The 23,983-nt window shown below is 42.3% G+C and overlaps 2 protein-coding genes across 19 annotated transcripts in view, besides 1 other annotated feature; both read right to left on the bottom strand.

Moving 5' to 3' along the window:
• Positions 1–23,983, bottom strand: part of TBC1D1 (TBC1 domain family member 1) — a 248,090-nt gene that overhangs the window by 162,404 nt on the left and 61,703 nt on the right. The gene's annotated exons all lie outside the window — the stretch shown is intronic.
• Positions 15,642–16,372, bottom strand: PTTG2 (pituitary tumor-transforming 2). The gene has a single exon (NM_006607.3). It carries the CDS (start codon positions 16,333–16,335, stop codon positions 15,760–15,762), a length of 576 nt encoding a protein of 191 aa, NP_006598.2. The 5' UTR covers positions 16,336–16,372; the 3' UTR covers positions 15,642–15,759.
• Positions 21,811–23,010: an enhancer, noted in NCBI's record as "BRD4-independent group 4 enhancer chr4:37955381-37956580 (GRCh37/hg19 assembly coordinates)". NCBI's record gives its function as "activates an origin of replication core promoter dependent on BRD2, P300/CBP, MED14 and CDK7 cofactors, and independent of BRD4, by STARR-seq in HCT116 cells {active_cell/tissue: HCT116}" and the evidence as "EXISTENCE:reporter gene assay evidence [ECO:0000049][PMID:35650434]".

The following is a 23,983-nucleotide window of genomic DNA, read 5'->3' as shown; positions in this document are numbered from 1 at the left end:
CCATAGTTTTCTTCTCTCCCAAGGCAAGATGATGAGACAAGGTGGTCAGTTTATGGCTACAAAGGTAAAGCTGAGTTTCAATCCCAGCCACTCCTGAGTTCCACGTTGAAAAAAAAAAAAGTCCAAAGGTTTAATCGCTGATGTGTTATGCATGTGTCAGGTGGAACCACTCACTGAGTTCCTCAGGCCAAATGGCCAACCCAGCCCAAGAATTCTGCTTCTCTTTTCCTTCTACTAATTGTGCATTATCTTCTTGAAGGACCATTGGGACATTTTAATGTTGTTCCCTAAATATCTGGCATCTGAGTTTAGTGAGGGTATTAGCTACCTATTGCTGTATAAAAAGTTACCCCAAAACTGAGAAGCTTAAAACCACAAACAACTTCTGTGGGTCAGAAATCCAGGAGCATCTTAGCTGGATGGCTCTGGCTGAAAGTCGCCCTAAAATTTCAGCCAAGCTGTTAACTGAGGCTGGAGTCATCTCAAGACTGGCCTGGGACTGAAGGATCCACTTCCATGCTCATTCACATAGGTGTTGCCCGTATTTAGTTCCTCGCAAGCTGCTGGACTCAGGGCCTCTGTTTCTTGCTGTTTCTTTCCATAGCACTGATCAGAAAATGGCAGTTTGTATCCCCCAGCACAAGTGATCCAAGAGAATGCACAAATCCAAAAACAGTGTTTTATGAATTAAGATGTGACATCCCAACACTTTTGCTCTATTACTGTTTGTGAAAAACCAAAGACATAAGTCTAGTCCACACTTAAGGGGAGGAGATAATATAAGGACATGAATATCAAAAGGAGAGGATCATGGGGGATTGTGGGCGGCAAGCCACCCAGCTGCCAAGGCAAGAGACCCAGGGCACGAGCTGTTCCAGTATAATAAAATATATAAAATAAGAATAGTTATACTAGATATAGATCTTAGATATGATTATATATGAATATCATTAATCATTAGTTTGTAGCAATTATTCTTTATTCCAATATTATAATAATCCTCGCTCTACAATCATAACCTAGGAAAAACCAGGCCATACAGAGATAGGAGCTGAGGGGACATAGTGAGAAGTGACCAGAAGACAAGAGTGCGAGCCTTCTGTTATGCCCGGACAGGGCCACCAGGAGGGCTCCTTGGTCTAGCGGTAACACCAGCATCTGGGAAGACGCCTGTTGCCAAGTGGACTGTGGTCTAGCGGTAGTGTTAGTGTCAACAAAAAACACCCGCTACTTAGCAGACCGGGAATGGGAGTCTCCCTTTCCCCGGGGGAGTTTAGAGAAGACTCTACTACTCCACCTCTTGTGGACGGCCTGACTGATGTCAGGCCTGCCCGCAGTTATCCAGAGGCCTAACCATCTCCCTGTGATGCTGTGCTTCAGTGGTCACGCTCTTAGTCTGCCTTCACGTTCCATCCTGTACACCTGGTTCTGCCTTTTAGATAGTAGTAGCAAATTAGTGAAAGTACTAAAAGTCTCTGATAGCAGAAATAATGTTGTAAGCTGTCTCTCTCTTTCTCTTCTCTCTCTCTCTGCCTCGGCTGCCAGGCAGGGAAGGGCCCCCTGTCCAGTGGACACGTGACCCATGTGACCTTACCTATCATTGGAGATGGCTCACACTCCTTACCCTGCCCCTTTGTCTTATATCCAATAAATATCAGCACAGCCTGGCATTCGGGACCACTACCGGTCTCCACATCTTGGTGGTAGTGGTACCACGGGCCCAGCTGTCTTTTCTTTTATCTTTTTGTCTTATGTCTTTATTTCTACACTCTCTCGTCTCTGCACACGGGGAAAAAACCCACCAACCCTGTGGGGCTAGACCCTACAGGGGATGATAGGGTTTCATCTTTTTTCCACCCTTGTGGTTTTATCTGGTGCATAGGAATAGATAAAACCGTAAAGGCATAGAGAGGCTGGGCGTGGTGGCTCATGCCTGTAATCCCAGCACTTTGGGAGGCCAAGGCAGGTAGATCACCTGGGGTCAGGAGTTCAAGACCACCCTGGCCACCATGGCGAAACCTCGTCTCTACTAAAAATACAAAAAATTAGCCAGGCGTGATGGCATGCGCCTGTAATCCCAGCTACTCAGGAGGCTGAGACAGGAGAATCACTGGAACCCGGGAGGCCTACGTTGCAGTGAGCTGAGATCATGCCACTGCACTCCAGCCTGGGGGACAGAGTGAGACTCTGTCTCAAAAAAAACAGCATGGAGAAAGTCAAGAGTAATATCAGGCCATGCATGGTGGCTCATGCCTGTAATCCCAGCACTTTGGGATGCCAAGATGGGAGGATCACTTGAGCTCAGGAGTTCGAGACCAGCCTGGGCAACACGGTGAGACCCCATGTCTACATAAAGGAAAAATAAAAATAAATTAGCTGGACATAGTGGCACACACCTGTAGTCTTAGCTACTCAGGAGGCTGAGGTGGGAAGATCATTTGAGCCCTAGATGTCGAAACTGCAGTGAGTTGAGATTCAGCCACTGCACTCCAGCCTGGGTGACAGCACAAGACCCTGTCTCAAAAAAAAAGTGACATCATTCCAACAGAGGCCACCCTTGAAAAGGGCCTTAGACGCATCCTAGGGAAGTACTATTCTCTCACTTTTAAGCAGTGATATTCCCTGCTTAATGAAGGTGGAAAAGGGAGTGCATTTGCAGCCATTTAGCCAAATCTTTCCCTGTTACCACATCACTTTCCCAAACACTTAGAAGAGATGGAGGCTGACAGTTCCATTAGAGCGAGAATGCTTGTAGACTCTACAACCTTACTATTCAAGGTGTGGTCCACAGACCAGCAGCCTCAGCAGCAACTGGCTGTTGGTTAGAAATGCAGAATCTCAGGCCCTGCCCTAATCTAGACCTACTGCATCATAACCTTCATTTTACCAAAATTCCAGGTGACTGGTATACTCATTAAAGTTTGAGAAGCACTAGTAGATGAGATTCATTAACATTGGTCTTAAAACGTTAATGATTAAAAGGTACTGACCAATAGGCCCTGGAGAAAGCAGCCAAAACTGTCCTGTGTTCTTGGGCTGGTATGAACCAGTTCAGCTAGAGAGCGACCTAGAGAGTTATCAGGCAACAACATAGTTTTGATGTGAGTGGATGGTCAGCTGAGGACCAGACTGGACAAGCTGAACCCAGGACAAATGTCATCATACTCCATCACTCCAACTCCTACACGAAACTCTCCAAAAATGCCCAGAACTTAGAAGCAATTCTGGGGAAAGGATGAGGAGAACCCAGAATTGACTAAGGAAATCTGAAGTACCTATGACTAAGATAAATTTTCCACCACAGAAAATAGAGATGCCAAAAAGTGAAAATTACATTAGGTTTAGGGGAATAAAAACTGCATTTCTTGCAAAAAAACAGGCCAAATCCTCAATGTAACAGTTAACAGCGGGAACGTATGCAGGCAGGTGAAATAAGGACATGAAGGGTTCATTGTTTAAACCTGGATCCAATTCTCAGTATATACACATCCAGGGTAGAGGCTCCTGCAGTCTGGGTTAGAATTTGTCTAAGGTTTGTGTTATCTTTTAGGCACACAGGGGTCTTTCTCTGATCCAAGTCTTCCTTCCTAATCCAGGAGTAGGCAGAATCACTAATCTCATGGGAAAGTAGGAGGAGCCTTTGAATTGGGTAGATTTGATAGCAATGTGTGGTGCTCTAACACCAAATATTTTAAGAAATATACGTGACAGCTCTTATTTTAATTCACTACCAGCATGTAGCTTGCCAGTCACACTGCACAAAGACATTTTCTGTTATAATCTGGAATTCCATCAAAAGGAAACTTAACATCAGAAAATCTAATCCTATACTCAAATACACTATTTTCTTTTTTTTTTTTTTTTTTGGAGATGGAGTTTCGCTCTTGTTGCCCAGGCTGGAGTGCAGTGGTGCGATCTCAGCTCACTGCAACCTCCGCCTCCCAGGTTCAAACAATTCTTCTGCCTCAGCCTCCTGAGTAGCTGGGATTACAGGCATGCACCACCACGCACGGCTAATTTTGTATTTTTAGTAGAGACGGGGTTTCTCCATGTTGAGGCTGGTCTCGAACTCCTGACCTCAGGTGACCCGCCCGCCTCGGCTTCCCAAAGTGCTGGGATTACAGGCATGAGCCACTGCGCCTGGCCTATTCAAATACACTATTTTCTGTAAAATACTACTCTCCCACCCATCTGAAAAATATATCCTTCCCACAAGGAACTGCATATGCTACCCTGAAAGGATTGTACGTATACTGGGCATCAGTAATCTTTTTTTTTTTTTTTTTTTGAAACGGCGTTTCCCTTTTGTTGCCCAGGCTGGAGTGCAATGGCACGATCTCAGCTAACCACAACCTCCGCCTCCTGGGTTCAAGTGATTCTCATGCCTCAGCCTCCTGAGTAGTTGAGATTATAGGCATGCACTGTCACACCTGGCTAATTTTGTATTTTTAGTAGAGACAGGGCTTCTCCATGTTGGTCAGGCTACTCTCAAACTCCCTACCTCAGGTGATCCACCCGCCTCAGCCTCCCAAAGTGCGAGATGACAGGCATGAACCACCGCACCCAGCCAGGCATCAGTAATTTTTAACATCTCCAAGGTGTTTCTCTCATGCAGTCAGAATTGAGAACCTCTGCAGACAGAATAGTCATTGCTCAAAGACACTGATAGTTTCCAGCCCTGATTGTCTATCAGAGTCACCTGTAATGGGAAGGTGGCCAAGTGAGAGAGAGAGTAGAGGGTCTCAGATGATTGGGCTGTTTTGGAGCAAAGGTCAAATTCTCAGAGACCTCAAAGAGCAAGCAGGTCATATAAATGTGTGAAGAGGGCAAGGTGTGAGAGGATAAAGAATGAAGTAACTACAGCATCTTAGAGAATGCATTCTCAATTATTAAAACACTCCACCTAGCCAAGTCAAATGTGTCAGCCCACTGAATTCAGCCACAGAGGTCATTATTGGTGTTGACCCATAATGTTGACTCTGGGTTTACTTAAAGCTTAGAAATATATTCTAGCAAGTGATTCTGATTATCAGCCAGGATCAAGAACCACTCTTACAGTTTTAGATCCTTTACTTTAAAATATATATATATAGTTGCTCTGTGGAAAGCAATAGGCTATCCAAATAGGACTGCAGAGATCTAAACACGATAGTATCTGATATGGTTTGGCTGTGTCCCCACCCAAATCTCATCTTGAATTGTAGCTCCCATAATTCCCATGAGTTGTGGGAGGGACACAGTGGGAGATAACTGAATCATGGGGGTGATTTCCCTCATCCTGTTCTCATGGTAGTGAATGAGTCTCATGAGATCTGATGGTTTTATAAGGCAAAACCCTTTTTGTTCGGCTCTCAATTCTTCTCCTGTCTGTTGCCGTGTAAGATGTGACTTGCTCCTTCTTGCCTTCTACCATGATTTTGAGGCCTCCCCAGCCACGTGGAATTGTGAGTCAATAAACCGCTTTCCTTTATAATTACCCAGTCTTAGGTATGTCTTTATTAACAGCATAAGAATAGACTAATACAGTATCCCTACAGAAATCTCAAATTGTTGTCTAAGTAACTTTAAAAGGATGCTTTAATGTCTCACCATCTCAGCACTCCTGAGACATTAACGGAGGACTTGAAAGGCAGGGGGGCCGGTCTGGGAACTGGAAGAGTTGCTTCCCTACTAAGCCTGACCATATCCCCACCAAAACAAACCCTGACACTCCTGCCCCAGCTCTTCTGCCAATTTCTTCTTTTGAGGAGGAACAAGAAGCAAGGGCGGCAAAACCTCCTGTAAGTTTAGGAGGTGATGCCAGGCAGGCTGCCCTCTAGTGGGGGGGGCCAGTGAGGCAGGGACACATGCAAAAGAATGACCTCACTCTGCCAGCTTGCTCCTCCCCACCCTAAGACCTGGTTAAAAATAGAGCCATTGTAATACAAACTCTACAAGGAAGTTCAACTGGGTTTCAAGTGAATCAGAACCACTTGGCAATGGATCAGGAATTCAGTTCACAAATATGAATATTCATTAGCACCTATTTTGGAAAGCCACAGAAGTCCTTGCAGGAAATAGCAAAATGGAGTCAGACCAGAATCCTGCCCTCAAGGGGCATAGAGGGTAGCAGGGAAGCTCAGGCAGGGAAAAGAGTGACAAAAGCCTGAAGTTATTTTCCCTCAAAGTCCAGGTGAAGCTTCGATGAGTTCCCAGAGGAAGGAAAATAACTTCAGGCTGCAAAGGAAAACCCAGCTTCCTGGCTGGTTTCAGGCCATTTACAGAAGGTGGAGAGGGAATGGGCTTTCCAGGAAGAAGGATCCGCATGGAGAAAGGCTTAGAAGATTAACGTTCTCTGGAAATCAGGCCTTGCATAGGAGGAGATAGGACAGAAATCAGAGCTTCATAGTGGAGAGGGAATGTTAGTGTAAGTTTGATGATATGCAATCATCTCTTACAAACAGAAAAATTTGTTTCCAAAGAAACCCATATTTGCCAAGGATAATACCAAATCCTGAAAATCTAATACTAAAAATCCCTCTGCATAAATTGAAAACATATATGCCCATGTAAAAATGTGTCCATGAATGTGCACAGCAGCACAACTCCCAAGAGTGGAAACAACCCAGCTGCCCTTCAACTGATGAATGGATCAACAAGATATGGTATATCCACACAATGGAATATTATTTGGCTATAAAAAGTAATGAAGTACTGATACATGCCACAGCACTGATGGACCTTGAAAGCACTATGCCAATTGAAATAAGCCAGTTACAAAAGACTGCATACTGTATGATTCTATTTATATGAAATATCCAGAACAGGCAAATCCATAGAGACAGAAAATAGACTAGTAGTTACCGGGGGCTGGAGAGAGGAGAAAATAGGGAGAGACTGCTAATGGGTGCAGGGTTTCTTTTTGCAGTGATGACAATGTTTTGGAATTAGATGGTGATGATGGTTACATTAATATACTAAATACCAAAATTTGTGGATTTACTAAATACCAAAATGTTACAGAATGTAAATTACATCTTAATTTTGGTAAATCCCGCTGTGTGATGATGATTGAATGACTTTAGGTAAGTTAAGTCACTGGGCCTTTGTAATAATGGATCCCACACTTAAAAGGGATAGTTTTGGCTGGGTGTGGTGACTCATGCCTGTAATCCCAGCACTTTTTGGGAGGCTGAGGCAGTGGATCACCCGAGGTCAAGAGTTCAAGGCCAGCCTGGCCAACGTGGTGAAACCCCATCTCCACCAAAAATACAAAAATTAGCCAGGCATGGTGGTAGTGGATGCCTGTAATCTCAGCTACTCCAGAGGCTGAGGCAGGAAAATCACTTGAACCCAGGAGGTGGAGGTTGCCATGAGCCGAGATTGTGCCATTGCACTCCAGACTGGGCGACAAGAGCGGAACTCTGTCTCAAACAAACAAACAAAAACACAGATAAAGCACTGGCCTATAGTAGATGCACAGCAAATTTTGGCTGTAGATGTAGTGGTGGTAGTAATAGTATTAGTAGTAGCAACAATGATTGATATTGGAATTATAGTGTGAATGATATGTCTTAAATGTAGAAGTAAAACAAATGATGGGCTGGAGGCCTCAAGCTCAGAGCTGGGTTTATAGACACACAAAATAGGACAGGACACACAGTTAAGATCAGAGAAGGGATTGTGTGTGAGCCAAAATTCACTCCAGCATGGTGGGCCTGCAGGATGTGTCTTGATATTTTCCTCTCCCTTTTTATGAGTTGCTGTGTCTAACAGCAAGACTGTGCTCCAATTGTTACTTTAACTCCATAAGCCAAGCCACAAATCGTCCAAGTGTCTCTGGTACATTCCTATCATACTAGCTGGGCAGAGACTTGGTACACACAAGCATCACTTGCCCGCCACACTTTCAACAGTTTAGAAATTCGTCCCCAGGCTTGGGTCCTGCTCACTCACACATGGAACTCACACTCCCTCTCCCAACCCCACACCTCCAATCCCTCCTTGCCTGTCTACATGGCTCACTTTCTCTCAAGGACACACCCACACTCACATTTTAAATCATGCCGGATTCAAGATGAATCTTCAGGTGACAAGACGGAGTATTTGAAGACCGTCTTCAGAGCAAACGGTGCTCAATAAATTGGTTCATGAAGGAAAGAAAATGTAGAGGAGAAGTAGAAGAACAAATTAGGTGAGGACTTATTGAGGAGTACCTTATAAATTCAGGTGGGTACCTCAAGAACATTCTACCTTGATATATCCATGTCAACATTTGAATCAAGGTCTCTAATTTTATGTTTTGATTTTCTGCGTTACATTGTAGTTTCTTGTTAGCCAGAATAACAGCAAGCCGACTTCATGAGAACATTTTTAGCGGCCCCAGCCACCTTCATTAAATGTATCCAAAAGCCTTGCAAAATTAATAGCTGGCTGCAGTCCCACCAGAAATACTAAGAAGACTGCAGGGTAAAAGGGAACCCCTGAACTTGCAACTCCAGAGGAGACAAGAAGATAGTAACAAAGCCCTTTGAGAGTAAAGTTCATACCAGCTTGGGGATGCCTTTTTTTCTCCTTGTAAGTAACACTTGCTGAAACAGAAATTTACTTATGACATAGGTCTATCTCTTCATTAGCAATCAATTCATTAAAATGCTGTGATATTTCAAAACCAGCTAAATTATTACATTTTGCTATTTAAACATCTGTTCTCAGTATGTTGTTCAATACGAACAGCAATCATGTTTACTTTTTAGCTTGTAAGACATTCCAAAAATAGAATCGGTGTTTTTCTATTTTTAGCTCAGTCTATAAAGTTTAAGCAAATAATCTTCTTTTCAAAACACTGTGCGCTTGTTTCAAATTCATGGAAAAACCCAGCAGTCCTGAGCTCATAAAAGAAAACACTGTAAAAATTTAGAGTCAAGATTTCGACACCCACACCCCATCCTGTAACTCAACATAGACTCTTAGCTTTAAACTCAGACATTTTGCTATAATTCATAGTGGAAACATTAGAAGCATCACTCGACAGAGCACTAATTTTATCAAGAAATAACTTTTTTTTCTAAACTGAAAGTTATATTTCTCCTTCAAAAATAAGACTGAAAAGAATCAACTCCTATTTCCTGATCAAATCTATTAGTGAATAAAAATCTGACCCAAACTTCCTCTTTCCACTTCTTCTATAGTAAATCAAAATTTTCTGTTTTTTATAAGGTGGTTTAGTTTACCTTCATTTAGGATAATTTCCCACTTCTAAAATAATTTCTCTTTTTTATCTTTTTTTTTTTTTTGAGACAGAGTCTCACTCTGTCACCCAGGCTGGAGTGCAATGGCGCAGTCTCGGCTCACTGCAACCTCCGCCTCCCAGGCTCAAGCGATTCTCCTGCCTCAGCCTCCCAAGTAACTGGGATTACAGGCACACGCCACTGCGCCCAGCTAATTTTTGTATTTTTAGTAGAGACGGGGTTTCACCATGTTGCCCAGGCTGGTCTTGAACTCCTGACCCCAGGTGATCCACCCGCCTCGCCCTCCCAAAGTGCAGGGATTACAGATGTGAGCCACTGTGCCCGGCCCTCTTTTTTATCTTAATAAAATTCCTTTAAAATTGCCAAGTTTTAAACACAAATGAAGCTCTTTGTGAATGTCCTCACTCTTTTCAAAGCCTAAATTTATGTGCTTCAGCACTGAATTTTGGATTCGAATTGCACAGCAAGCACCTGGAAAAAAAAATGGTGCCACAAACCTCTGCAGAAATGCACAAAACAATTTGAATTTTTTCCTTTGTTGTAACTTAAGATTCCTACAAAAAGTCCACCAAGCCACAGGTACTTGCATGTCAACAAGAAGAATGTGCCTGGTAAAACTCAGTGTAATCTTCAGGTGCACTGAGCAAGCTCATCTTCCAGAATATAAGACCCAAGTGCCGAATTCCTAGGCAAATGCCCCTCTGAAAACCTTTAGATAAAAGGTGTCTCCAGGGCAGGGAACATCACACACCGGGGCCTGTTGGGGGGTAGGGGGCTGGAGGAGGGATAGCATTAGGAGAAATAGCTAATGTAAATGATGAGTTGATGGGTGCAGCAAACCCTATGTATCAAACCTGCACGTTTCGTACATGTATCCTAGAACTTAAAGTATAATAATTAAAAAAAGATAAAAGGTGTCTGTATACTTAGCAAAGAAACTCATAGATTATAAAATAAACCACCATCTGCATCTTAGTCTCTATGCGTAGCTAGAGAAGGTACATAATTGAAAATGTCCATTGGCCTTGATAGGAGATGTAAGGGCTGAGAAAATATAAGAAGGAAATAGTTTAGCTTCTCTTTTCCATTTGTGTGGGGATCCCACTCAGTTTTTTAAACGCTTCTAAGTAGTGATGTCTGAGTCATTGCTCTTCTAACCTGGAATTTTCCAAACAGGACAGAAGTTTTGCTCTGGGTGAGGTGAAGATAAATTCAGCTTTCAGATGAGGGTCAGGAGTCATCTAAAGTGGGTCAATCAATTTGCACATGGATTTGTGGAGTCTTTCTCTGTGTGAGGCAGCCCAGGCTGTCCAGGTGCTTGCTGCTAGCCTATACCTGCTGGCAACCAGCTATGTGACCTCAGACAGTTCATGTCACATTCTCTGAACCTGTTTCCACCTTGTAAATTGTGGGTATTAGGCCCACGATCTCCAAGGTCCCTTCCAAGCTTCCCTCAGGCATGTTGTGAAATATACGCTAAATTAAATGCCCATGGCCAGGGGCGATGGCTCACACCTGTAATCCCAGCACTTTCAGAGGGTGAAGTAGGTGAATCACTCGAGGTCAGGAGTTCAAGACCAGCCTGGCCAACATGGTAAAAGCCCATCTCTACTAAAAATACAAAAATTAGCTGGGCATGGTGGCACCTGTAATACCAGCTACTCGGGAGGCTGAGGCAGGAGAATCGCTTGAATCTGGGAGGTGGAGGTTGTAGTGAGCCGAAATTGTGCCACTGTACTCCAGCCTTGGTGACAGAGTGAGACTCCATCTCAGATAAATAAATAAAATAAATAAATAAATAAATAAATGTCCATGACAGGTTTGCACCTGGCAGCCTTCGCTCAGGGTCAAGGTAGAACTAAACATATCTGCTCACCGATCTCTAGGTCATAATATCACAAGAGCCCCGATGCTCCTGGAACTTTTCCAAATATCTAGAGTTCTTGTTCTCAGGGACAACACAAGTATAAAAAAGAATGCCAACTCAGTGCAGGGATCACCTCCCTCCACTTCAAGGTACCCCTGCTCCAAGATCAAGGGTCAGGAAGGATGAAAACAATATCCGCTGAGTACTTACTGCATGCCAGATGTTTTCATATATTATCTATCTCCCAACCCTAGATGGTAAGAATAATTGTAATAGTAATAAAACATAATGTGTATTGAGTGCTTCCTATCTGCCAGACACTGCTAAAACCAGCAAACCTTCAGGCAGCATCCACCATGCACCAGGCATGGTTCAAAGCATTTACAGCGCATGAGGTCGAGAGTATGAGTACCTATTTTTGGATGGGGAAACTGAAGCACTCAGGTGGGAAAGGAGAAAACCAGAATCAGGCCCAGGCACTCTGCCAACTTAACCACTTTACTTCACAGCCCCTAATTATGTTAAAACCCTGCTGCAAGGTATTACTTATTCTGTTTTGCAGATGAGGAAACTGAGGTTCAGGAAAGTAAAATAATTCACCAAAGGCCTCACCTAGGCACAGTGGAGCAGTGTCTGCGTAGACCACCTGTCAGCATCCCTCCAAGCAGGTCCTAACTGCTACAAACACAGGGCTTCATGCTCTAAGATTTCAGGGAGCTGGCATGGCCAAGAGAGGTTCTCTAGACAGACACCATGCTCTGGCAGCTTCCTGCCAATAGCAGGCTCTGTCAGGGAAGGAGCTTGGCCTTTTTCATGAGGCTGGGGACAGAGCTGATGCTAGCTAGATGAGATACAAATAGACATGAAATGGCAGCAGATTCTAAAGAACAAATGAACGAATGAGGTAGGAAGGAAGGAAGAGAGAAAGGAAGCAAATTCTTGTTGGGTCTGAGGCAGCAGGGCCCTTCTCAAGGGTTCAGCCAGGCCAGGGGCTAATAAGAAAGTGAGACCCGCAGTAGGCTGCCCCTTGTCCCCATCCAGGCTACGCTGGGACCAACAGGCCAAACTCCATCTGAACCCAGGACAAAGCAGGAGCTGTGCTGCCGGATCTCGGGAAGGCAGGCACATTGGTCCTTTCTGTGAAAAACTGGTCAGGCTAGTGGACAGGAAAACCCTGACCTCAGTGCCTAGGAAATTCAGTGGCAGCGGGCTTGGTCCTCGCCACAGCCTAATGGGAACCTGAGTGTCCAGTTGGATCCTGAGTCTCGAGTTGGATGTGTCAGTGGATCTAGCACGAGGTTTAGAATCACCTTACATGAAGTACAGCGCCCCGACCCTCCTTTCCAACTGTGAGACTGTGGTGCATGCACTGAAGCCTAGGGGACTCCAAGAAAGGGGCACACGGCCTCTCTGTGCCAACAAATGCTGCTTTAACTAATTTCATCAAGTGGTAATTTCGCATATCCAACCCTGGCCCATGTGTGTGCAGAGCACTGAACTTAAGCCATTGCAGTCACCATTGCAGTAATTCATTCAGCCACTCAATATCTATTGCATTCCAGTCCTCAGGGATGCTATAGTAAGCAAGCCACCTGCCCCTGCAGGAACGTCTTATGGTCCAGCAGGCCCATACAGCAAGGAAACAGGAAATGGCACAACTGGGTGATAAATGCAGTGAGAAGGAAAAGAGAGGGTGCTATGAAAGCTACAGAGAGGGCCCCTAACCAACATCAGGGACCCTGTAGTCACCCTGGTGTTTTAAGCAGGCACCAAATGCCAAGTACAAATGAGCCATTGGGGGGAAAAAGAGCAGGGATATCATTCCTAATCTACAAGGGAGTAGAGTCCGATATTGGATTTTTTTATTACAGTATTCTTGTTTCTTAGGATCTTAAAAATTATTAAATGTTTTTAAAACATTTAAATAGCATAATATAAGAGACACCCATGTAATTACTACCCAGTCTTAGCAGTTTCAGATATTTTGTACGTAAGTACATAAATGGGTATTTTTTTGACACGGAATCTCACTGTGTCACCCAAGCTGGAGTGCAGTGGCGTGATCTCGGCTCACCGCAACCTTCACCTCCTGGGCTGAAGCGATTCTTGTGCCTCAGCCTCCTCAGTGAGTAGCTGGGGTTACAGGCATGTGCCACCATGCCCGGCTAATTTTTGTATTTTTAGTAGAGATGGGGTTTTACCATGTTGGCCAGGCTGGTTTCGAACTCCTGGCCTCCAGTGGTCCGCCCACCTGGACCTCCCCCCTCCCTCACCCCCCACCTCAACTCTTTCTTGCTCTTGCTCTGCCATGTGAGAGGCCTGCTCCCTCCTTGGCCTTCCGCCATGACTGGAAGCTTTGTGAGGCCTCCCCAGAAGCTGAGCAGATGCCACTGCCATGCCTCCTGTACAGCCTGCAGAACTGTGAGCCAATTAAACCTCTTTTCTTTATAAATTACCCAGTCTCAGGTATTTCTTTATAGCGATGCAAGAATGGCCTAATACTGTACTTTTTGTGAGTCAGTTTAAAAATGAGTGTAAGCTAATAAGTAAATATGCATAGCTTCAACTAAATGATTTTTATGGACTGTAGCAGAGGACCTGGCTTGTATTTTCTTAATGGTTTCATGTCTCATGCCAAGGCCATCATATGCAAAGAGACATCTGAAAAAAAGTTGATGTTTATTGCCAAAGAAGTACTTAAACTGACTGTAATGAAGATGTTAAAGAGCTTCAGAGAAGCTGTATACTATTTCCGTGGGCTGACCACAGACACACTTTAAATCAAAGGCCAGCTGATCATTGGACTTAGGGTGATTTTTAAAACACTTTCTTTTTTTATCCAAGTTTTTATTCAATTCCCTTGACTTATTTCAGTTTAGAATTTGACTTCTTATTATCCTTATAGTAATCCTGAAAAAATTACCAAGAATAAAAAATATCATAACTACTAACATAACTAAGTCCACAGGATATTAGAACTGCAAAGATACCATATAGCTAAACCTCTTTATTTACAGGTGATGAAACTGAAGTCTGAGAGGTTAATTATTCATCCATCTAACAAATATTTATTGAGTTTCTACTCTGATATCATTTAGATCCTTACTATGCTAATAACCATACATAAATATGGCAGTAAACATTTAGAAATTTAAACGTTTAGTGTCTCTATCAACAGCTATAAGAGTAAAATTTTAGATGTTACCGGCTTGCCCAAGGTTGCATATCCATTAAACAGAGGAAGCAGGGTTAAGACCCAGGGAGTCTGACTCCAGTAATACTTCCTGTCTTGCCATGGGATACACCTATGGTTCTTGAATCCAAAATGCAGAAATATGAATCTTACAGGAGAATGAGGCCCTACCATTTACAGAATGTGATGTCTTCCTTTACAGATGAAATTTAGTTCTTCTGGTGAAGAGGACAATGGCTGGGTAGGAGCTTATGCCCACACCTAATGGAAACTTATCCTTGACCTGCGTGGCTACTGGCCCAAGATAAAGATTACTTGGAGCAGCCCACCACAGAATCAGCTCCAAGATATGGGGGAAGTACTTGGACACCATAGTGAACAAAACAGAGATGGTCCCTGCCCTCATGGGGCCCACAGTTTATTTGGGAAGACAGGCAATGTACAAGTAAATTCTCAAATATTTTATGATTTGTCTTGAATTTTTAAACTTAAACCTTCTCCAGTTTTAAAATAGCATGGAAGCAAAAATCAAAATGGAGTGGAGCAGATCACAAAATTGTAACTCTTCTCTAAGGACCAGTATGACAGCCTAGGACTGAGACCTTGCATCTTTTTTGGAGGTCAGTTCTGACAGCATCCTTTGATTGAAGAGGGATTTGGAAACTTTGGCCTGTCATGGCCTTTGATGGTTCTTAAATAGCCACATCTAGTTGGCTTTTTGTGGAATAACATGTTCAGAGACATAACCACCACTCACTTTCAGTAGAAAGAGCAAAACCACTAACATGTATAATGAATAGCAGCTCCTGGCCTAGGAAACTCACTAAGTCTTGGAATTCAGGAACCAGAGAGGAAACCCTGAAGCCTCTCAGGTGATCTGGATTGACACCAGACATCTGTGACTCTATCAAAGCTTTGTACAGAATTCAAGGCATGGACATAAAAGTGCTTTAAGTTGTAAGACATTAGCAGAATAAGATACGGGATTTCATGAACATTATTTAGCCATATAGACATTTTAAGATAATCAGTGTTAGTCCTAGCTGCAAATATGTTCCCTATTTTTTTTTAGCATTCCACAAAATTCTCATTCTTTTAATTATCTCCCTTTGCTGCTAGGACCTCCTTAAGGCTTTCATCTGGTTCACACTAGGCTGGGAAGAAAAGATGTAGAAGTTCTTGGCCTGGCCCTGGCCTTTTCTCCTTTATCCTTTGCTATTTCCTGTCTCCTGTTTCTCTACAGAAGTAAATCATGTTGACATATCCCCAAAGAGTACGGGCTGTAGTATGGAAGAAATATAGAAACAAGGGACAGCTGAGACAGATGCACATAAAGAGGAATATGACCCACTTTATATTTATGTATTTATTATGTTGTTAAACAAATAATGCTTTATTAATACAAGTACACACAAACTCCAAAGCACTAAGAAATTTAAATATCTATGTCATAGCAAACAGCTGGCAATTCAACATCCAGGGTCGACAGAATGCTTGAAGGAGACTGCAAACAGATTGCATTCCCATGGTGGAGAGGGCATTTTCACAGGTGAAGGGGGGCCCAGCTGAAACAGCTTTTCAAGCTCTCCCTCCTCATCAAGGATCATGAGAGGCACTCCACTCAAGGGGAGGTGTGCAATCTGGCGCTCTTCAGGCAGGTCAAAACTCTCAAAGTCTAGAAGATTGAAGGGAAAGAATTTTTCTATTTCTGGATAGGCGTCATCTGAGGCAGGAACAGAACTTTTTGTTTTAACAGTCTTCTCGGTCATCTTTTTGGCAGAAAAGCTTGGCTGTTTTTGTTTTCTGGGTCCATTGGTCTTTACTGACTTTTCTGTAGCTCTGTTGACAGTGCCCAAAGCCTTTCTGGTAGCTTTAGGTAAGGCTGATGGAGCATCGTATGTTTTGCCAAAACGTCGTGTTAAAACTTGAGATATCCCATCTAATGCTTTGATTGAAGGTCTAGACTCCAGCTTCAGCACATCCTTGGCAGCCACACGGGTGCCTGGTTCTCCAATTTCCTTATCAACGTAGATCAGAGTAGCCATTCTGGATTATTGCCGCTCTCAACAGCCACATTCATCTAAGACCGTGGTCCCACTTTATATTTAGATAGAATGTTAACTATAGTGGAAATTGGTGTAATATCTAATTTTTGTGCCTAGCACATCATCTGAGAGTTAGCATGAACTCATATAAAGAGCACAGGCCTGAGGTCAGACAAACCTGGGTAGGAATCTCGGGAGTACCACTTTCTGTTAGCTGTAAGATTTGGGCAAGTTAGCTAACATCCAAGCCCTATTTCCACATCCATAAAATGGAGGTAAAACCCAACTCTTACACATTGTTAAATGGTCAAAAACCACTTAGGTAAAGGGCAGAGCAACCAATAAATAAATAGTTTCTGCCGTTATTGCATTTTCTAATTTATAATGTACTTTTGCATACATTATTTCACTTCTTACTAACCTTTAATAAATGCAAGTCTTCCATTTTTTACTAAAGCAGCACCCCTGAAGTTTCTCTAAACTGCAAAATGCTCAAATGTTTCATCCCGAGTTATCCCTTTTGCCAACTCTGATCTACTGGTGGCAGACAATCCAGCATGCAGTGGTGGGGAGAGCCGAGAGGCCCTCTCTGAGCAACGTGACTACTAATGGTGCTTGCTTGGGCAGGAATACTGGACTATGGCAATGACTATATACCTTTGCCAACCCAACCCCAATCTAGTCCAGGCTATTGATTCACAGCAGCAAAGGGTCACTTCTGTTTCTAAGGCCTAGAGATAAGTTGAGGGCACTTTTGCAGTGAGCCATTTCAATTCAATGATAAATATTCTTGTTGTCTAATTCATTCTATGAATCTTTGACCCAGTGACATATGTGCGTACGTATTTGAGCCCATATGCAAAAATATACAGTTGAGTCTTGAACAATACAGGATTGAGTCGCATGGATCCACTTGTTCTCAGATTTTCTTCTGCGGCTGCCACCTCTGAGACTGCAAGACCAACCCCTCCTCTTCCTCCTCCTCCTCAGCCTATTCAACGTGAAGACAATGAGGGTGAAGACCTGTATGATGATCTATTTCTACTTAATGAATAATGCAATATGTTCTCTTCCTTATGATTTTTCTTAATAACATTTTCTTCAGCTTACTTTATTGTGAGAATACAGGATATAGTGCATAAAACATACGAAATATATGTTAGTCGACTGTGTTATTGGTGAGGTCAACGGAAGACTATCGGTTAAGCTTTTTGGGAGTCAAAGGTTATAGGTGGATTTTCGACTATGCAGGTGATTGGCGCCCCTAACCCTCACATTGTTCAAGGGTCAACTGTGCCTGTTTATTTGCATAAGGCCACCTCAAATACAAAGGGCCATTCAAAGGTATCATTAGAAGTCTTGCTCTTAACCTGACACAGCTAGCTAGAAAGTGACAGAGCCATGACTTGGACCTGGTATATCAACTGATTGATGTAACCTCTATATGGAGCTTGTAAATTCAAGTGCCACCCAGAGTCAGTGAGGGAATGTAAATATATGATGTGCCAGTGGAAGACAATGGGGAACGGGGAGACTGGTGGGGTAGAGTGTGTGTGCCAATCTGCAGGCATTCCAATTGAATTGTTTTTCTTCAAACACTATGGTAGGCAACTTTTACAATAAAGTTTGCAGGCCACCTGTCTGTAATCCTGTCTCATTATACCATTAGCAGGAATTATTATTAAACAACTTCTTTCAACTCTTCCGACACATTCATTTTTTATTAACAGCCTTCTAATAGTACTCTGAATTGGGGCAGAAATAATTAAAGTAAAAGATGTCATATATGTGTCCTAAAGAAGGGACAAATAAAGGAGGTCTAGAGGTGTGAAAGCAAATCTAATCCAGGAACACTTTCTGGAGGAGGTGGCATTTGAGCTAGGAGAGATGGAATGCTTAAGTAAGAGAAGGAGCTAGGAGAGACGGAATGCTTAAGTAAAAGAAGAGGAAATCTCCCCAGGCAAAAGAAACAACAATGAACAAAACAGAGGAAAGCATGGCTACGAGGAAAAATTAACTGTCCCATTTTGCTGGAAAATAGAGTACACCATCTTGGAACAAAAATAAAAAATATGAAGAATCATCTGGGACCAGATATGGTCAAGGTTCTTGATTGCCAAGCTAAGGAATCTGGTGTTTATTGGTTAGAGATGAAAATGGCCTGCTCAGAGAATGGGTTTTCTAGGAGATGAATCTGCTTTGTTGATCTTACAGACTCTTTCTTAATATGAAGCATACTTTTTTCCTAGACAACTTCAAATCTGAAAAATGTGTTACTATTCTTAGCATATGTTTTTGAAAGTAAACTTGGTCGCCATAAACGTATATGAGAAAAGGGGCATAAAAACTGGCAGCAAATCCAGTAACTGTAGCCATCTGTGTTTCTGTTGTTCTAAGCAGAGATCAACAAAAATAGCATTTTAAAAAACATATAAGTATGGTTGAAGTAATATTTTCCAGTGAAGCTTTCCACAAGTGGCTGCTGATAATTTTATCTGGTATTTTAAAATAAAATACACTACCTACAGGACACCATGAAAAACTATCATCTGTTGCATTATAAATGGAAGAATAAAAGGAAGGAAAGACAGAAGGGAGGGAGGAAAATGATATGTAGTTTGTCAGGAAATGTAAATCACATGTCAGAATTGACCTTTTAAAAAGTAATAATGAGCAATAAGAAAAACATCAAACAATCTGTTCTGAACTTTTATGAAAAAGTGGTGTAGGATAAAAATGGAGTTTGGAGTCAGAAAGACTGTTTTGGAATCTCAACTCTCTTCTCTTTCTATATTATTTATTTATTTGTTTTTATTTTTATTATTTTAAGAGATAGGACCTTGCTCTGTTGCTGAGGCTGTGATCATAGCTCACTGTAGCCTCGAACTCTTAGGCTCAGGCAATCCTCCTGCCTCAGCCTCCTGAGTACCTAGGACTACAGGCACGCACCCCCATGCCCAGGTAATCTTTTTATGTTTTGTAGAGAGGGGTCCTGCTGTGTTGCTCAGGCTGGTCTTGAACTCCTGGGCTCAAGATATCCTCCTGCCTTGGCTTCCCAAAGTGTTAGGATTACAGGCATGAGCCACTGTGCCCAGCAATACATATTCCTGTCAACAGATAAATTCCTTGTCTCTAAAAAGTAGTGTTATTTATTACTTTAATGATTGTGAAGAATGAAAACATGTGTCATATCAGGTATCATACATTTGTCTCTTTCCTTCTTTTGGAAAGGAAGAGATACGTCTGCCACATTGTGTAACTGTGGCCATGAGTATTATACAAACTCATGAGGGGCTTATGTTCTCCCATCTCACGTAGGGAGTCTAAATGTTTATGTGGTCAGCTTGATCCTTCCTGTAAGGGGAGGGAGGCCATGGTGCAGATAATCCCAAAGACCGGATAGGAGTAATTCTTTAAGTTTCACCGTGGCATGCATCAGTGGCTTCTTTGGGGGAAATTCATTTCTACACTCCCTTCTTTTTTTTTTTTTTCTTTTGAGACGGAGTCTTGCTCTGTTGCCCAGGCTGGAGTGCGGTGGCGCGATCTCTGCTCACTTCATCTTCCACCTCCTGGGTTCAAGTGATTCTCGTGCCTCAGCCTCCCAAGTAACTGGGACTACAGGTGTGCTCCACCACACCTGGCTAATTTTTAGTAGACATGGGGTTTCACTGTGTTGGCCAGGCTGGTCTTGAACTCCTGACCTCAAGTGATCTGCCCATCTCGGTCTCCCAAAGTGCTGGGATTAGAGGTGTGAGCCACTGTGCCCGGCTACACTCCACTTTTCTTAAGTTAATACTAACATTAGTTGGCGTCCCTGAGCATATCACATGAGGTCAAGGGGAAAAGACACAGAATGGAAGTACAGGGAAAAGCCATTTGGTCATTTTAAATGTGTTAAAGCACAATGAGGATAGTCTGCTGGAAGTTTATTCACTTCACATTCAATATGTATTGAGCACCTACTGGGGGCCAGGTACTGTCTAGTCTGTGGCAACACATCTGTGAGCAAAACAAACCAAAACCCCTGCCCTCGGGAAACTTACATCCTAGTGAAAAGAGAGTCAGACAACGAATGAAACAAATTTTTAAATGGCATAGTGTATTAGAAGTTCATTAAGCCGGGTGTGGTGGCTCATGCCTGTAGTCTCAACACTTTGGGAGGCTGAGATGGGTGATCGCTTGAAGTCCAGGAGTTCGAGACCAGCCTGGGCAACACAGGGAGAACCCCCGCTCCCATCTCTACAAAAAATACAAAAATTAGCCGGTTGTCATTCCAGCTACTCAGAAGGCTGAGGTGGGAGGATGGCTTGAACCTGGGAGGCAGATGTTGCAGTAAGCCTAGATCACGACACCGGTACTCCAGCCTGAGTGACAGAGACGTTGTTTCAAAAAAAAAAAAAAAGTTTATTTGAAGCAGATTATATGTATTTTGGGGGAAGATATTTATTTTTTATTTTTTAAATAGAGACAAGGTCTCACTATGTTGCCCAGGCTGGTCTCAAACTCCTAGACTCAAGCAATCCTCCCACCTTAGCCTCCCAAAGTGCTGGAATTACAGGCGTGAGACACCACGGCCAGCCCTGACAATATGTATTATAATCTATATGCATAATAGAAAAATGAAAAGTGTAAACTTTGAGGTAAAGCTCTCTTAAACACTGCTTATTCTTGGACCACAGGTGCTCATAACAAAGGGCAGAAATTTTTGTAAAAAAGAGTCACAGTGGAAACTGCACATTGTAACACATTGTAATTTATATACAGTTGACCCTCTTTACCCATGGGTTTCGCATCTGTGGATTCAACCAACCGTGGATTGTAAATATTTGGAAAAAACAAAGGATGGTTGTGTCTGTACTGAACATGTACAGACATTTTTTCTTATAACTATTCCCTGAACAAAACAGTATAACACTATGTATGTAGCATTTACACTGTATTGAGTAGTATAAGTAATCTAGAGATGATTTAAAGTATATAGGAGGGTGGGCACAGGTTACAGGCAAATACTATGTCATTTTATATCGGGGGTTTGAGCATCCATGGATTTTGGTATCCACAGGGGTGGTAAAACCAATGCCCTCATCCCCACATACACTGAGGGACAACTGTATACACATAGAGAGGTATGTATGTGCAGTTCATGGGAATCTCTCATTAAGTCTGCGCTACCTTTGGAAAAAAACTGGGAGAGATACATGCTCCAGAAGTAAAATGAAGGGGTGATTTCTTTTTTTACTTTTTATAGTTTCTTAAATTTATTAGATTATACATGGTTTTTAACTTGTGTTTTACAACATTTTTCAAATAAAAATAAAAAGTGAGTTAAAGAAAGATGAGATAGTTCTACATGTACTGACAGAAATCGGTACATGACACATCAGGTGGAAAATCTAGATTACAGAGCTTTGTATCACCTGATTATGTATGTGTTAAATACATAGGTTTTAAAAAAATCTACTGCTAAGTGAGCCAAGATCGGATCACGCCACTGCACTCCAGCCTGGACGACAGAGAGAGACTCCGTCTCAAAAAAAAAAAAAAAGACTGTTTCAAAAAAAAAAAAAATCCACTGCTAAGAGTCATATGATACATAGATTTTTTTTTTTTCATGTCAGCTGTTCTGAGACAGCTGAGTGAGGGATCCCATCAGAGTTTCAGTGAATCACCCCGCCTCTTCATCGCCCACATACAGTATCACTAAGTAGGCACTTCCGCCTCAGAGCCGACCTTCAAAGCATCCCTTCCTCCATCGCAGCCACTATTATCCTAGGCCGGTCCTCATCATCTCTAACTTGAATCACCTCAAAGGTATCCTCACTGGTCTCCGTCCATTCTTGACATGACTTCCAAGACCCTTCCAAATCTGGCCTCAACCTACCTGTGACTGATATTAATTCTACCTAATAATGATTCTCCCATTTCCTCTTCACTAAAATAACCCTAATTTTGTTCAGACAATAGACGTAGACCTTTGATCTCAGCTGTAGCCCCATGGAATGCTCATGAGTTGGCACATAGTAGGCAATTTTTTTTTTTTTTTTACTGAATGAATGAATGTATAAATTAGTAATGTTAATCCTTTTATCTTCCCAAGTGAGTCATCTAAAAGTCAACATGTTCAGTACCATAGGAAAGGTTAAAAGAGAAAAAAAAGTCAACATGTGACCCACGTCTGGCCAATGAGATATTAGAAGACGTCTGCCCCTCCTCTCCTACCTAGAATGCACTGGTGCGAGGAGCCACAGCAGCCATCTTGGAATCCTGAGGCCACACAACAAAAGGCCAAAGTCAACATGCTAGGGATTGCAAAGTGGAATGAGACAAAAGCCTGTTATTGGTGATTTAGATCCAGCCACTCTGGAACTGCTTGCATTCCTATCCTTATTCTGTGAGATATCTAAGTATCTCTGTTTTCTAGACCAGAGTTTAATGGGCCTATGAATCGCTTGGAAATCTCCTTACAATGGGAATGTTGATTTTGCAGGGCTGAAGTGGAGCCTGATAATCTACATTAATAACGGGCTCCCTGGCAATGTTGTTAAGGATGTCAAAATGAGAAATGACGATACAAGCCACTATAAATTAGGCATTCTATTACTTTTAGCTGAACTCATCCTTATTTTCTGCTGTCCCTGGCCACATACCAAGCTAACCACAGTAACCATCCAATCTTCTCAAAATATACAAACTGTCTCCCAGGCGTGGCTCATGTTTATCCCTCCCTTGAAGGAGCTCTAAGGTTCTGTAGAATTTACCACTATTCTACACATCAACCTTAGTCAATTCTTCTACTCATCAACCATTTGCATTTTCCCAGATATGCTTTCTCCTGTCTCTTATTCAAGTCATGATTAAACAGTTATAGTGACATATTTAATAGACAAAATGATTTTAAAATACCTCAAGCTTAATTGCAAAATTATTGAATTCCCTAGTAGATTTTACATATTATACTACATAACTGGTTGTGTTTCATTTCAGAAAAGTGGGAATTAAAAACTACAGGAGCAGGATTCTATTACCAGTAATGACATGCAGTGCCTCTCCTTGATGAAGCTTTAATTGCACATGCCACTTTGAAAACGTTTTTAATAAAGTCTGATATTAAGATTTGTCAGTTAAAAACTGAGCTCAGAAGAATTACTCAGGATCACCTCCAGATTAAAAACACCATTTCTCTCTTATCTGTCCAAGAAATTCCTACCTGGTTCTATTCCATTAATTAGTAATATGCTTTTCATATCACACTGTGGTATTCCAAAATTTAGCATTCATGCTTTCATTCCAAACTTGTCGGAAAAGGCACCAAATTACTGGCTCCGAATGCAAAATGTCTGCATGCCACAGTGGGAGAGGAATGGAGCTAATGCATATGGATTCCAATTACCTGCAGCTGAGACAATACACGGCATATCCAAAACCACGTCATCAATCAGCACATCTAGCCGTGCACAATTTTGATCACACATCATCAATCAAATGTCTTGATTTGATTTTCACTGTAAATTAGCACAATTTTTCTGCAGCCCCCATCAACTCAAAACCATCACATAATCTGTGCAAACGACAGGGCCATGTGGGATAAGTAAAAAACCAGGATTCAAGAGATGGACATTTTATTTTTCCCTTTTGAAAAATTTTTATT

This window comes from Homo sapiens, chromosome 4, assembly GCF_000001405.40.
Source record: "Homo sapiens chromosome 4, GRCh38.p14 Primary Assembly".
Taxonomy (NCBI): domain Eukaryota; kingdom Metazoa; phylum Chordata; class Mammalia; order Primates; family Hominidae; genus Homo; species Homo sapiens.
Note: the sequence above shows the minus strand (reverse complement) of the source record. Positions and strands in the feature narration are given on the sequence as shown.